Consider the following 14,647-nt stretch of genomic DNA (forward strand, 5'->3'; position numbering starts at 1 on the left):
ATAGATTTTCCAACTTCTTACTTTTTCTTCTTCTCAGGAACACCTATATTTCATAGGTTTGGCTATTTTATTTAACCCCATGTTTCTTGGAGACGGTTCATTTATTTAAATCCATTTTTGTTTATTTTGTCTGATTGGCTTAATTCAAAAGAGACAACAAGGAAAGTCTTTCTTCTACTTGGTCTAGTCCATTGTTTGAACTTTCCACTGCATTTTATATTTCCCTAAATGTGTCTTTCATTTTCAGAAATTCTGGTGGGTTTTTCTTTAAAATACCTGTCTGTTTAGAAATGTTTTTACTCATATCCTTATTTTTTTTAAATTTGTTTATGGTGGCTTTCATCTTTATCTTGTTTCTATTTGAGTAACTTAATTATCAACCCTTTGAATTATTTATCTGATGTTTCTACAGTTTCGTTTGGATACACTAATAGATAGTTTGATATTTTAGGGATGTTTTAGACCCTGTTTTTCATATTGTCAGAATTATTTTTCTGGCTCCTTCTCACTTGGACAGACTATTCTTCTAATGACTTTTGAATTCATTTTTGATTGAACTAGTTTGTCTTTTTAATTTTTTTTCCCTTAAGGATGTGACTTTAATGTTTATAGTTTATTGTCACCTAGCTGCAGCTCCATGTGCTTTCAGTGGTGCAGACTTGGTATGAGTCCCTTGGTTATAGAGAATCTTTGTGCAATGGCTTTCTCAGATGGTGGTTGTGGTGATGCTGTGCTGGATGTGTGAGCAGGTTCACTGTCTCCTGTAGGGAGTTTTTAGTCTGGTTCACAATTTAGGCTGCAGCCTGCTGCTTCTTTCAAAAGATCTGTGGTTTCTTTCAGTTTTTCTGTTAAGTTACTATGTTGCTTCTGAAAAGAAACTGCTTTTCTTGTGACTACTGAAAATGAATTCCTCCTCTTTCCCTGAAAGCAAAGTAGTTCTATGGCCAGCAGCTCTCACTTGGAGAAGACCACACAGCTCCAGCAGGGCAGCATTTTGTCTCTTGATTTCTCCTCAAATCTGATGACACACACTAACCCCAGCCATCTCTTGAAACATGTCCTCAAGCATTCAGCACAGTGGTGCGTCAAGACAGGCTGCCCAATCCAATTGCTGGGGCTGGATGTCTCTTAGGGATTGAAGGCTGAAGGGAGGATTGAAACTGGAGCTCTGGGAACTCCCAGTCAAGTAACCTGAGCAACAGTTTCATCTTCTGAAAAAGTTCTTTTTCTTGATTTCACATTTTATATGTTTATCTCAAACATTTATATTCCTCAAAGATCCTCTAAACTAACTACAAGCTCCTCCACATTATCAGGACAAACACAATTCTAACTCTCAAAAGGTAAGCATAGTAAGTATCATGGTAGTGGAATTAAAATATATGATTGCTACATTTTAAGTTATTAAGTTATGAGGTCAAATTTCAGAAAGAGAAAGAGTAAGTAGAAATGGAATTTCTTGGGAATGTTTAATTAGTTATATTACATCTTTACCAACAATAAATAAAACAAAATACTTTATTTAACCATTCCTAATTGCTTTCACTTTTTAAATGGTTTTAATCTATCATCATCTACTTTTTAATATCTATAACCATTAATACAATAATTTTCAGATTTTCAAAATGACAAATGCTTGTATTTTTATCAGAAAGTTTTAGGATGTTTCAGATTGACCAAATATGTTGTTTTTTCCCTTCCTAATGGAGAAAGCTAAGTCTTTAAGTTGCCTTAAGTCACATGTGACACCTCCATATTATAATATGCATGTTGTCAATGTCCTGGGGACAGAAATGATATGTCTCGTTCTGAATTTCAGCAATTTTTGTATTCCAGCATTATAAAAATTGTTCAAACCATTGTATAGATTATATGTTTCATAACAAAATGAAATATGCATTTAAAATTTAAAAAATCAAAGTCTTGTGGCACTAAATATACTTTTCCTAAATCTTTTAACTTTACAGGGAAATTTATTTCATTAATCCTTTTTTATGTTCTTCTAGCAGTTGTTTCTAAAACACTAAGTTAGAAGTTCATATAACTATTTTAACTTACTATAAGTTATTGAAAATGCCTCTATACATTTATATAATAAATGTATGCAAATGTATGCAGATTATACATAATATTATCTCAATTTTATAAGGCAAAAACATCATAAGTGTTGTGTAAAAGATTTAAACAGACACTTCACAAGAGAAATTATAGAAAAGTCCAATAAACCAAATGACAAATTCTCAAAATAATTGATCATCAGGCAATGCAAATATAAACTACAATGAGATATCAGTACACAACTTTCAGATAAGAAAAATTTTCAATATGTGATAATTCCAAGTGTTAGCAAAGATGAGGAACAACTAGAATTCTCATAGTTGGTAGAAAAAAAATAACTATTTGAGAAACTATTATTTTATAATATTAACATAGACTTTTCATACAATTCAACAATTCCACATCTAGGCATTTACAAGTAAGAAATAAAAGCCAATGTCCACACAATGTCTTGCACACAGATATGTAGTATTTATATTCATAAAGCAGAAACTGAAAAAAGACTGTTTATCAGCATATGAATGGATAACCAAATGATGGTGTATTCATACACTGAAATACTACACAACAGTAAAAAAAGTTCTGAAACAAAATAATATAGAGGATTCTTTAAACACTATTGAGTAAAGAAATCAGATATGAAAATGCATTCCACTTGGATCCCTTTTATGTGAAAATCTGGAAAGACAAATCTATTACTGAGAGAATGAATATTAGTGGTTGCCTGGGGACAAGGAAGTAGAGGATCTATTGGTATATGGCATAAAGGCAGTTTGAGGGTAATTATAATTTTTTATGTCTTATTGTGATGGTTGTATAGATGTATGCCTTTTTCAGAACACATTATATGTTGACAAATCTAAATTGCATTCATTGACCCACATGTAACAGGATTTTATAAAAATTATTTTATTCTATTAACAAATATTTAAAAATTATTCAAATGAGGCTTTATTTATTTGTATTTTTAATGTAGTAGCAGAGCAATTGTTGGGAGGAAAAAGGTTCCAGTTAACTAGCATCATTTTTCAAGAGATAAGGACTTTTTTCTCTAAATGTAAGTCTATCTACATTATAATTTATTATAAATACATTTATCACTTTTATACAAAACGTAGGCATTCAAACAGAAACAAATTATCCAACCTCAAGAAATAAAACAACTAATATGTGCTTTTGTTGGTTAAGTTAAATGTTTATACAGAAAAATCGCTCCTCCAAAATATGAATATCATTTATATTACCAACAATTGAATGTGCTTTTTGTAAAAATTTTAGTAATCTAAATAAGGAATATTTTTCTGTCATATTAAATTAATAATATTTAAGTTAACATATTATATTAAATAAACAATTATTCATTAAAAAGGAAATACGGTATTTCCTGGCTGGTCACCAAGATTAAAATTTGTAGTCACATCATTGAATTCAAATTACAGATTTAGATGTTTGACTCTGAACACAGACCTGAGATTAAATAACACTGGAGACCCAATAACCTCTTCATATGAGAATAACAACTAATCTTAAATAATAAGCACCTACACAATATTCACAATTAATTTAGAAGTTATGGGGGCATGTTCTGCTGGTTGTGCCTACCACTTGGGTTTAATATCCATCCTGTACTAAATGAGTTAGTTGGGCAACAGGCTAAACCAATCTAAGCCTTGAGAGATATAATAATAGTACTGGTCATGCAGGATGATTGTTAAAATGAATGACATAATTCATACAAAGTACTTGGGTCACAATTAAGCATCAAAAGTACTATACAAATATTAAATATTAGTATAGGCTTCATTTCTAAAATAACTTCTCCAAAGTAATGCTAAATATTGTTAAAATTAAACAAATGGCAAACCTCTTCTTTACAGCTATATTTCATATTTTTAAAAAGCTAAATTATCTTTTATTACAAAACAGATAAATTAATATTTGTATAGATAGTTGTAAATATAAAATTTCAAAATATTTCATGAAATTTTTATTATTCGTGAAGGAATTAACCAATGGTCTACATATAATTAAGAATATAAGTATAAATATATCTAAAATGTCTTCTTGGGTGACCAAAGAGTAAAAATTTAAACCAAATTCTCTCGAAACACATTTTATAGACAATCAAATATGCTGTGAATAATATAGTCACCCAATATATTTTCTTAGATTTGAATTCATTCATAATAACTCTGATGTAAATAATTAAAATATTTGCTTTTGCTTCAAAATCTATTTTATATTGCACCTTATTTCGTATATAGTGTTAGTGTACAAGAAATCATAAATGAAAGTTTACTTTATTAAATGCCATTTTAGGATCCATTGCTATCTTAATCCATGTTCACTATAAAACAGAGCCTCGGCCAGGCATGGTGGCTCACACCTGTATTTCAAACACTTTGGGAGGCCAAGGTGGGCAGATCACGAGGTCAGGAGATCGAGACCATCCTGGCTAACACGGTGAAACCCCATCTCTACTAAAAATACAAAAAGTTAGTCGAGCGTGGTGGCAGGTGCCTGTAGTCCCAGCTACTTGGGAGGCTGAGGCAGGAGAATGGTGTGAACCCAGGAGGTGGGCTTACAGTGAGCTGAGATCGTGCCACAGCACTCCAGCCTGGGCAACAGATTGAGACTCCATCAACAAACAAACAAACAAACAAACAAAAACAGAGCCTGAGACTAAGTAATAAGTAATAATCCTCATTAACTTTGGGAGGTCATGTTCCAAGGCAGGTAAAATGATGCAAAGGAAAGTGAAGCAAAGAGGAATGTGAGTAAAGGCAAAAAGGATGCCAAAGGTTGCCCTCTTTCATCACTCCTATTCAACATAGTATTGGAAGTTCTGGCCAGGGCCATCAGGTAAGAGAAAGATATAAAGGGTATTCAGATCGGAAGAGAGGAAGTCAAATTGTCTCTGTTTGCAGATGACATGATTATATATTTAGAAAGCCCCATCATCTCAGCCCAACCCAAAATCTCCTTAAGCTGATAAGGAACTTCAGCAAAGTCTCAGGATACAAAATCAACGTGCAAAAATCACAAGCATTCCTATACACCATTAATAGAGATCCAAATCATGAGTGAAATCCCATTCACAATTGCTACAAAGAGAATAAAATACCTAGGAATACAACTTACAAGGGATGTGAAAAACCTCCTCAAGGGGAACTACAAACCACTGCTCAAGGAAATAAGAGGGGAAACAAATGGAAAACATTCCATGCTCATAGATAGGAAGAATCAATATCTTGAAAATGAAAATGGCCATACTGCCCAAAGTAATTTATAGATTTAATGTTACCCCATCAAGCTACCACTGACTTTCTTCACAGAATTAGAAAAGAAAAACTACTTTAAATTTCATACAGAACCAAAAAAGAGCCCATATAGCCAAGACAATCCTAAACAAAAAGAACAAAGCTGGAGGCATCATGCTACCTGACTTCAAACTATACTACAAGGCTACAGTAACCAAAATGGCATGGTACTGATACCAAAACAGATACAAAAACAAATGTAACAGAACAGAGGCCTCAGAAATAACACCATACATCTACAACCATTTGATCTTGGACAAACCTGACAAAAACAAGCAATGGGGAAAGGATGCTCTACTTAATAAGTGATGTTGGGAAAACTGGCTAGCCATATGCAGAAAACTGAAACTGGACCCCTTCTTTACATCTTATACAAAAATTACATCATATTCTTAAAATCCTTTCACACACAAAATGCCCAGATTTTTCTGTCAAAATAGTTTGACAAAAATCATGCAATTATTGTGCAACTATGGGTCTTACTTTGTACCTCACTCTTTGGTGTCCCTGAGGAATTAAAACTTGTTATATGTCTCAAAGCAATGATTCATGCTTTGGATTTTAAGCATGATGGATTTTAAGGCAGGTCATCAGTCCCTCCTGAGACAACTAAGCTAAATATTAACAATTGTTTCCACAATCCTTAGCGCAGGGGAACTTTGCAGGCGAAATTAAATTCTTCTGCACAGAAGGGACAAACATCACCTACTCTTCCATTTCTTTGGACAAAGGTTGTCAAAATGGCTTCAATTCTGGAAGCAGATGCAACTTTCCACTGTGCTGAAAATAGAGAAAAAAACATTTTGTTGTGTAGTACTAATATCTACTGTTCTAGAAAGAGCAAATTTGTTTTGCTGTAAAATTAAGGTGCTAATGATGGTAAGAAAAACTTGAGTTAAAACCGTGACATGTCTAGATGATTTGTGTGTTATAAAAACAGGAAAGTATGATATTTTTTAAAGTAATGTAGCTCAAATTATCTTTTTTGTATAATACACTTCCATTGTTTAAACAAGGATCCTATAATTCTTTTTGCCTAGACAGCTGTTCAAAGGCTATTAATTTATATCACAAAATGAAATATAACAGTGTGATTGGGTTGGTGGTACTACAGAGGCATTTTTAGAATTCTTAGTATAATGCACAGTAAATTTCACAAGTTATATTTCCAGTATGATTCTATCAAGTTAAATGACCTTGGAGTAGACTATTAAGGGCAAAGACACTTCTCTTATAATCAACTTCAGCTATTAAAGCCATCCAGAATTTTTTCTCATATTGAAAAAAATTTATCCTCTACCCCCTGATGGCTACAAGAAAGGGTTTGGGCCATTTGTTCCAAATCTCATATATAACTCTATTATAGAGCTATTATGCATGTTAAGAACATCTAAATCCAGTCTAGTCTGATGTACCTATTATCAGAATTTGTGAAAATGCCACTTATTTAAAAATTATTTCTTAAGACTGCTCATGTATAGAAAGTTTCTGAATATAGTCAGACTTCCTTTGCAGTAAGAAAAAGGATGATAAAAGGGTATGAAACACTTTGAATAAAAATTAAATATTACAAATGTATTACAATACTGATTATAATAACTCTAAGTAATTTTTTGTTTGTTTAAAAAAATAATGTATCCCTATTGATTGGCAAGTATGCTACCAAATCCTGAGGATTCATTCCTGATATTCCATGCAATGAATGGACACAATATCTTAAGTGTTTACCAGGACATGTTCTTGCAATTTAAATATATAATAATGGATTAATAATATAGTTTTTACCATTCTATAAGTGTCAGTTAAAGTTATATAATAGCCAAAAATCTAACCGCAGTCACACACACACTGCCTAACATTTCAGTCAATGGTGGACCACATATATAATGGTAGTCTCATAAGGTTATAATGGAGCTGAAAAATTTCTATTGCTTAGTAATGTCATAGCCATCATAATATCACAGTGCAACACATTATTTATATGTTTGTGGTGATGCTGGTGTAAACAAACTAACTGTGCTGCCAGTCATACAAAAGTACAGGACACTGGGAGGCTGAGGCAGCGGATTACGAGGTCAGGAGTTTGAGAGCAGCCTGTGCAATATGGTGAAACCACGTCTCTACTAAAAAATACAAAAAAAATGGCCGGGCGCGGTGGCTCACGCTTGTAATCCCAGCACTTTGGGAGGCCGAGGCGGGTGGATCACGAGGTCAGGAGATCGAGACCACGGTGAAACCCCGTCTCTACTAAAAATAAAAAAAAAATTAGCCGGGTGTGGTGGCGGGCGCCTGTAGTCCCAGCTACTCGGAGAGGCTGAGGCAGGAGAATGGCGTGAACCCGGGAGGCGGAGCTTGCAGTGAGCCGAGACTGCGCCGCTGTACTCCAGCCTGGGTGACAGAGCGAGACTCCGTCTCAAAAAAAAAAAAAAAAAAAATTAGCCAGGTGTGGTGGCATGCGCCTGTAGTACCAGCTATTTGGGAGGCTGAGACAGGAGAATCGCTTGAACCGGGGAGGCAGAGGTTGCAGTGAGCTGAGATCGCCCCACTGCACTCCAGCCAGGGTGACAGAGAGAGACTCCATCTCAAATTAAATAAATAATAAATAAATAAAAATATATAAAAAATAGGACATACAATTTTGCACAGTATGTAATATTTAGTAAGTATAGTAAATGATTATGTTACTTGTTTATGTATTTACCAGACTATACTTTTTATCATTATTTTAGTGTGTACTACTTTTACTTATGAAAAATGTTAACTGTTAAACAGCCTCAGTCAGTCCTTAAGGAGGTATTCCAGAAGAAGGCATTATCATCATAGGCAATGACAGCTCCATGCGTGTTATTGCCCCTGAAGTTCTTCCAGTGAGACAAGATGTGGAAGTGGAGGACAGTGATGTTGATGATCGTGACCCTTGTTTGTCCTGGACTAATAATGTGTGTGTTTGTGTTTTAGATTTTAACAGAAAAGTTTAAGAAGTAAAATAAATAAATAAATTGTTAAAATAAGAATATAAAGTAAAAAAATATATTTTACAGCTGTTCAGCATGTTTGTGTTTTAAGCTAAGTGTTATAAAAAAGAATCAAAAAGTTAATTTAAAAAAGATTTTTAAGCATAGCATTTCAATATCCTTTGACCATTGTGGTATGAATAAAAGTTGCTTGAATCAAGAAAGCAACACAAATTATAGCATCAATACTATCTATGTATCTAGAAATACATAAAATGAAATGAAAATGATTAGTGAAGGAATTCATCTTAAAAGTCAATTAACTTACTGAAATTTAAGGATAAATGTTATGAACCAATTGTAAATAGGGGTGTTTTCCTAATTGTGATAAAAAGAGGGGTTGCCATATCTGTCAGTCAATATGTTGTCTTTCTTCGGTGTCAAGATGTATGTGTCCTATGAAACATTTTCATATTTTTTATTTTGAATGCTCAAACTGATCATTTTTACATCCATGCTTTCTCATTAAATTGATTTTCTTCACCAGATACTGCTTCAAGCTGTCTACCTCTAATACCACTCTTAAATTCTGTATATTTTTGGAGATATTTCTCAAGGTCTGTTCCCATCAGAAGATGAAGTTGATAAGTAATATGGAATTTGAATTACATATGTCCCACTTTAGGTAAAGAAGTTAAGCTCTCCATCTTACAAGGCTGTGGATAAGAAAGGCTTTTAACTTTTTTTTTTTTTTTTGTCAACACCTAAGAAAAAATGTAATATTTATTCTTCTGGATAGAGAAGGAAAAAATATATATATATTTCTAGAGTTTTCCTCAGGCACATATCTACTACCACGCTACATCACATCTTTCAGAATTTGAATTGGATAAGCTTTCTTGCCACTGTTTTTAAAATAAAAAGCTCTAGACCCTCTTCATTCCATATAAAATTATTGCACAAAATACTTTCAGTGTTCTCTTTCAAATTGTACCTGTTGTGCTTATTAGTTTTATATAAAAGCAAATAGTGACAAAGTAGATGCAAAAGAAAAGTTACTAACACATTATTAGAAGTTCAGAATTTTAAGGGTAGCCAGAGGAGCTAATTTAGAAACAACAGAAACTAAAGAAATTCTTAAAATTAAAAACAGAAACAATAACTGTATTATTATGATTACAGAGTTCATACCCTCGCTCTGTTCTTCATTCTCTCAGATACGAAGTCCATTTTTTTAAAATAAATAAATGGTGATCACTAAGTCAGTATCATGGGTGGTACATGATTTATACGTCACAATATCATTAAGTGTATTCTTTAAGAGAGATAACGTGATAAGGACATTTTAGATTGAAGAATAAGCATGCACAAAGCATTAAAAGTTCTGAAAATGTGTGTAATATTCAGTAAACTAAGTAATTTCTCATTCTAGAAATATAGGGTGCGCTAGGTTGAGGAGAGACAACAATGATTTCTAGGGAGATGATCAGGCAGATGTTTGTCTGTCAAGCTTAACTGTGAATTTATTACGCAATAGTGATCTATTTTAATGTTTCAAATAGGTAAATATATGTTATATTTATTCTTTAGAATGATTCCTTTGGCATGGTTTAAAGGAAGAATGAAAACATTGTGAATTTAGAGGCAGAATGTTAGCAAGGCTACACTCCCAACAGACCCAATAGAGGTGATGATAACTTGAACTAAGGCAATTATCAGTGTGGATATGAAGGAGAAAATTATCCCAGAAGTTGTTAAGGAGATAGAATTCTGAGTACTACAACAGCGGTTAAATGCCTGGGGTGAGATAAAGGAAAAAGTCAGAAATAATACTCACAGTTCTAGTTTTAGTGATTGCATAGATACATCAAGAATCCAAATATTCCTGTGTCTTCTCTCTCTCTCTAAGTTACCTGAGAGAGATTTGCTACCAATTTTAATTCTAAAGTTTCCTCTCTTATGGATATGGATATCTTAAAATTCAAAATACCTTTACCAATCTTCTAAACTAAACAGTAAAGAATCTCATATTTTTACATAATGGTTTCATCAGTGAAGAGTTGATACATAGAATTTATTCTTCATTTACAATTTCATCAGTGAAGAGCTTAGAGATAGAATTTATTCTTCTGGCAAATGCTTTTTATGCCTTATCTCAAACATATATGCTATAAAATTAAGTGCTATGGGACTGTAACTATGTATGCAATAGTGAGGTATCAGCACAGATGTTGCTCATCAGAAAAGGAAAAATGCAAAGAGAGAGGTTAGGGTCAAAAGTCTGGTATGGAAAAGCATTCTAAGGATATTGCTGAAACAAATGAGCTATTTTCATAATGGCATATACTCTATTAAATCTATGTAGCTACAATAAAATATTTCAGAATAATACAAGAGAAAAAATGCACTGTTTAGGATGTTTCAAATTCTGTAGAGTTGACTATAAATTATTGAAAGATCTGAAGTAATGATCACAATCTTGATGGAAATAATGAGACATGATCCACAAGAAAAGTCAGTGGTAAAGTCAGTAGGGAACCACCAATTCAAAGTTGAGTTTCACTTTCTCTAGTATGTATGAGATGCTCTAGGTCTTATTTTTGCGGTTACTATGATATTTCTTAATTCTCTGAGGCTATAATCAACACCATAGGCAGAAAATTACAAATATTGTGATTGGGTAAATCAAACATTTTGCCTATTACTCTTTTTCAGTGTCTTACATATTGCTTATGAGACTTTTGAGACCAAGTCCTAATATATATAATTTCTAGAAATATTTAAGCTAATCTACATAAATTCCCACTGGCCTGCTAATCAGAAAGTTCTGATCTAGAACACTAAAAACTTCCAGATCTAATATCCAAAGGATATGAGATAAATAACAAACACTTAAATTCACCCCACATATTCTGTTCCCTGGTATTTACTGGGGAAGAATTTACAGTTTATGAAATAGAAATACTTAGGTATCTTGGACACTTTTGAAGTATGGATTTATTAGGTGGACTCTCTTCCTTAAAATAATAACAGACACTTTCTTTGCAAATATTACATACAAGTTTACCAAGTAACAATTCCTGTGCTAAGTAGTTGATTCACTCACAACCTCCCTTTTCAAGTGACCTATGTGTAAGAGTTAAAGAAAGAGGAAAGAAACAAGAAAAGCAGCTCAACAGTCAAAGACAGGTTTAGTTTGGAGAATAAACGTGAGAGGGGCTTCAGGCCGAGTTAGGTCAGGAGCACTCTATCTTACAGACAAGAGTATTTAAGGGTTCAGGGCAGGAGAGCTTATCACAGGCTCAGAATGTTTCTGTGTCTTTTTGTCTTGCTTATCTGGGAGGGAGAGTTTGGGGTCTGTTCCCATACGTCTTCCTGCAGCTGTAGGTATTACCCCCAAGTCTGCTTTTAGCTTCCTTATCTTAGTGCACCTAAAGGGAAAGGAATGTGCTTATTAGGGCCCACCGTTTTACTGGGGCCCATTGTGTGTGTGAAGTTTGGTGGTTACCCAAGAGACTTTCCCCTCTCTCCCTGTGTCCAAGCTGTCTTATCTGTGTTTTACTGTCTGCTCTTTTTGGCTGCTTGTTGTTAGAAGAGAAGTGATTTCCTTGAAATGCATGAGGTTAGAAAGGGAGCTGGAACTTAAAGTGGCAGTGTTTGTCCAAGATGACGGTGCTCCTGCTCTATCACTATACAGATAAGCAAATGATAGCTTTGACATGTTTAAACTTGTCCAAAGTCACATGTATTGTTAAGTAACAGAGATTTGAGGTCACTAGTGTATCTTGAAAGGTCACCTATTTTGTCAAAATTTATGCTGCTTTTAGTCCAACTATATAAGCACCTCTGCAAGGCAGCAGACCTCAATTCCTATTTTGTGGCAAGAAGTCCTTTCTGACCACTGAAGAACACTCCTTTGTTTAGAGGCTTAGTTGTCTTGTTCAGGGTCTGCAGAATGCTAAAGAGTACTCATTGGAAAACAGGTTTGAAGTATCCTAAGTAAGAAAGTCTGTTTTTAGTGTTGTAAATCCATACTAAAGATCAAAATAACAACTTTACAATCATTATGACAACAGAAATAATACATAAGATTAACTGTTCCACAGATAATTTTGCATTACACACCTTGCTCAAACCATGCAATTATTCCATGAAGTAAATGTTATTTTTCCTCTATTATACATAAAGATATTTTTATAAAGTTGCCATTATAATTATGGAAGTTTGATGGCTCAAAGACGTCATAGTACTTTTAGGCAAGGTAGAGAAAACTTTCCTTTTCTACAAGTTACTGAGTTGAGATTTGCTTAAGATTCTTCATTTCATAATCTGAATATATTTAAATTGTCCGTTGAAATAATGCTAAAATTGCATAATCTCTGAAAAAACATCTTTTAATTTCTTTATTTAAAGAATAAATATCTTTATTCTTTATAAATTGGGTTTTTAAAATTTTGTTAACATTGTGTTATATGAACCATTCATTATTTGGCCAGGAGACTTTTTTTTTTTGTCTGCTCTGCTTAGTCAGGAGTTTGGGTACCTCTTTCTATTCAGTGAATCAGTGACTTAAGTCATTTGGGCTTGTGCATATGTGTTTGCGTTTGTGCTTTATAATAAATATTAAGGGTTATAAGCACTGGTGCATAAAACAATATCATGCTTTATATTTTAAATGATTTTTCTACCAAAAATAATCAATCATAATACATAAACCAAGGATAATACATAAAATTCAATTCTTGAAGCTGTATGAGAAACTTGAATTTGAATGAATTTATTAAAAAAGTCAATTTCTTCTCAATTCATTTTGAAGAATCTTGAAATACATCAGCTTTAGAGAGTTTTGTCATATAGAAAAAAATATTTGAATGAATATTCTCCTAATATTTGGAAAAATATATCTTTATTAAAAGCTGTGTTCCGTATCCCTGAAAAAAATCATGACAAAAATATTTCAAGTGAATGAGGATATTAATATGTGTGTTTCATAAAATCATGTCAACTCAATTTTATGGGCCCTTTATAAAAATATTTAAAAAGTTCAATAAAATCAATGGTTTTTCAATTGTCTGTTTCAACTGTAATCAAATTTCTACCTATTATAAGGCAATTTGAAAATACTTATGCACAGATTATTATAACTTAATAATTAAAATATAATATAGCACTTTATTGGTAATATGAAATCTAGAAAATAATTATTTTATTGTAAATTGGCTCTGTAAGGAATAAGAAAAGTGAAAATTCTCACATAATTTGATAATTAATGACAGTATGGTGAATTGTCAAGGAAATCCAATTGAATATAATAGGATGTTAAGTGACAGGCTCACTATACCTAAAAATTTAGTTTTCATAAGGACATTTTCTAAGAAATAAAATTAAGTCATTGTTGATGACAAAATATCACTGATCTTTGTTGTTTGTCACTTAGGAAAGAGCTATTTAATTTGATAAATGAATTCTTAATACGAATGCTTATGCAGACTCTTGCAAAATTATGTCTTACTAGAAGTAACAGAATTCCATAAAAAGTAATAGTTCCTTCATTCAAGTATGAAAAAAATTACAATTATCTAAATGAGTTTCATTTGTTGGAGAATGAGGATAGTATTTCCCAATTACTTTTCTTTTACCACACAAAATATTTATATTACTCCTCAAATATTTTTTATTTTGTTTTCTAAATGATCTTGCAATTTAACTATATATAACTATATATAACAATTGAATTAGTAAAATTTTATTTTTATTTAAAAATATATAAATATGGATTTATATAAGATAGAATTATGTAGAAAGATAATACTATAATACAGTATAATTACATAGTATATCGTATATAAATATACTATAGCTTAATTACTTGCCACTGAAGTTAAAAAGGGTTAGAGAAAAGTCTACCAGAAAAATTATCAGCTTCTATTGTGCAGATGGTAGGAATGTGGACAGGTTTTGAGGCATAGTGGTTGGTGCCAAATTTATCAATTCCTGGCACAAATATTCTTTATTATCATTTAAGATCAATACACTGAATATCATCTATTTTATTAATGATATAGAGAAGTGCTGTCAAATTAACTTTTTGTGATAATAGATATTGTCTATATCTGTACAGCTCAATACAGTAATCACTTGAAACCTTGAAATGTGGCTAGAGAGGTAAAGTGGTCTTTTGGCCATATGATACACCTTAACTTACGGGGTTTCTTTCTACATTCTTTTTAGTTCTATCCACTGAGGAATAAGTCTTGAAAATGAAGTCCATTAGGAAATTCAGTCCTATGCCTCATATAATGCCTTGCTGGAAGC

At 32.5% G+C, this 14,647-nt stretch overlaps 1 long non-coding RNA gene across 1 annotated transcript in view; it reads left to right on the forward strand.

Moving 5' to 3' along the window:
* LINC02237 (long intergenic non-protein coding RNA 2237) overlaps positions 1–14,647 on the forward strand; it is a 93,979-nt gene that overhangs the window by 9,761 nt on the left and 69,571 nt on the right. Inside the window, exon 2 of the long non-coding RNA NR_146282.1 lies at positions 1,279–1,343. This is a non-coding gene — a long non-coding RNA (long intergenic non-protein coding RNA 2237). The remainder of the gene's footprint in view (positions 1–1,278; positions 1,344–14,647) is intronic.

The sequence above is a fragment of the Homo sapiens genome, chromosome 8, assembly GCF_000001405.40.
Source record: "Homo sapiens chromosome 8, GRCh38.p14 Primary Assembly".
NCBI classification, from domain to species: Eukaryota; Metazoa; Chordata; class Mammalia; order Primates; family Hominidae; genus Homo; species Homo sapiens.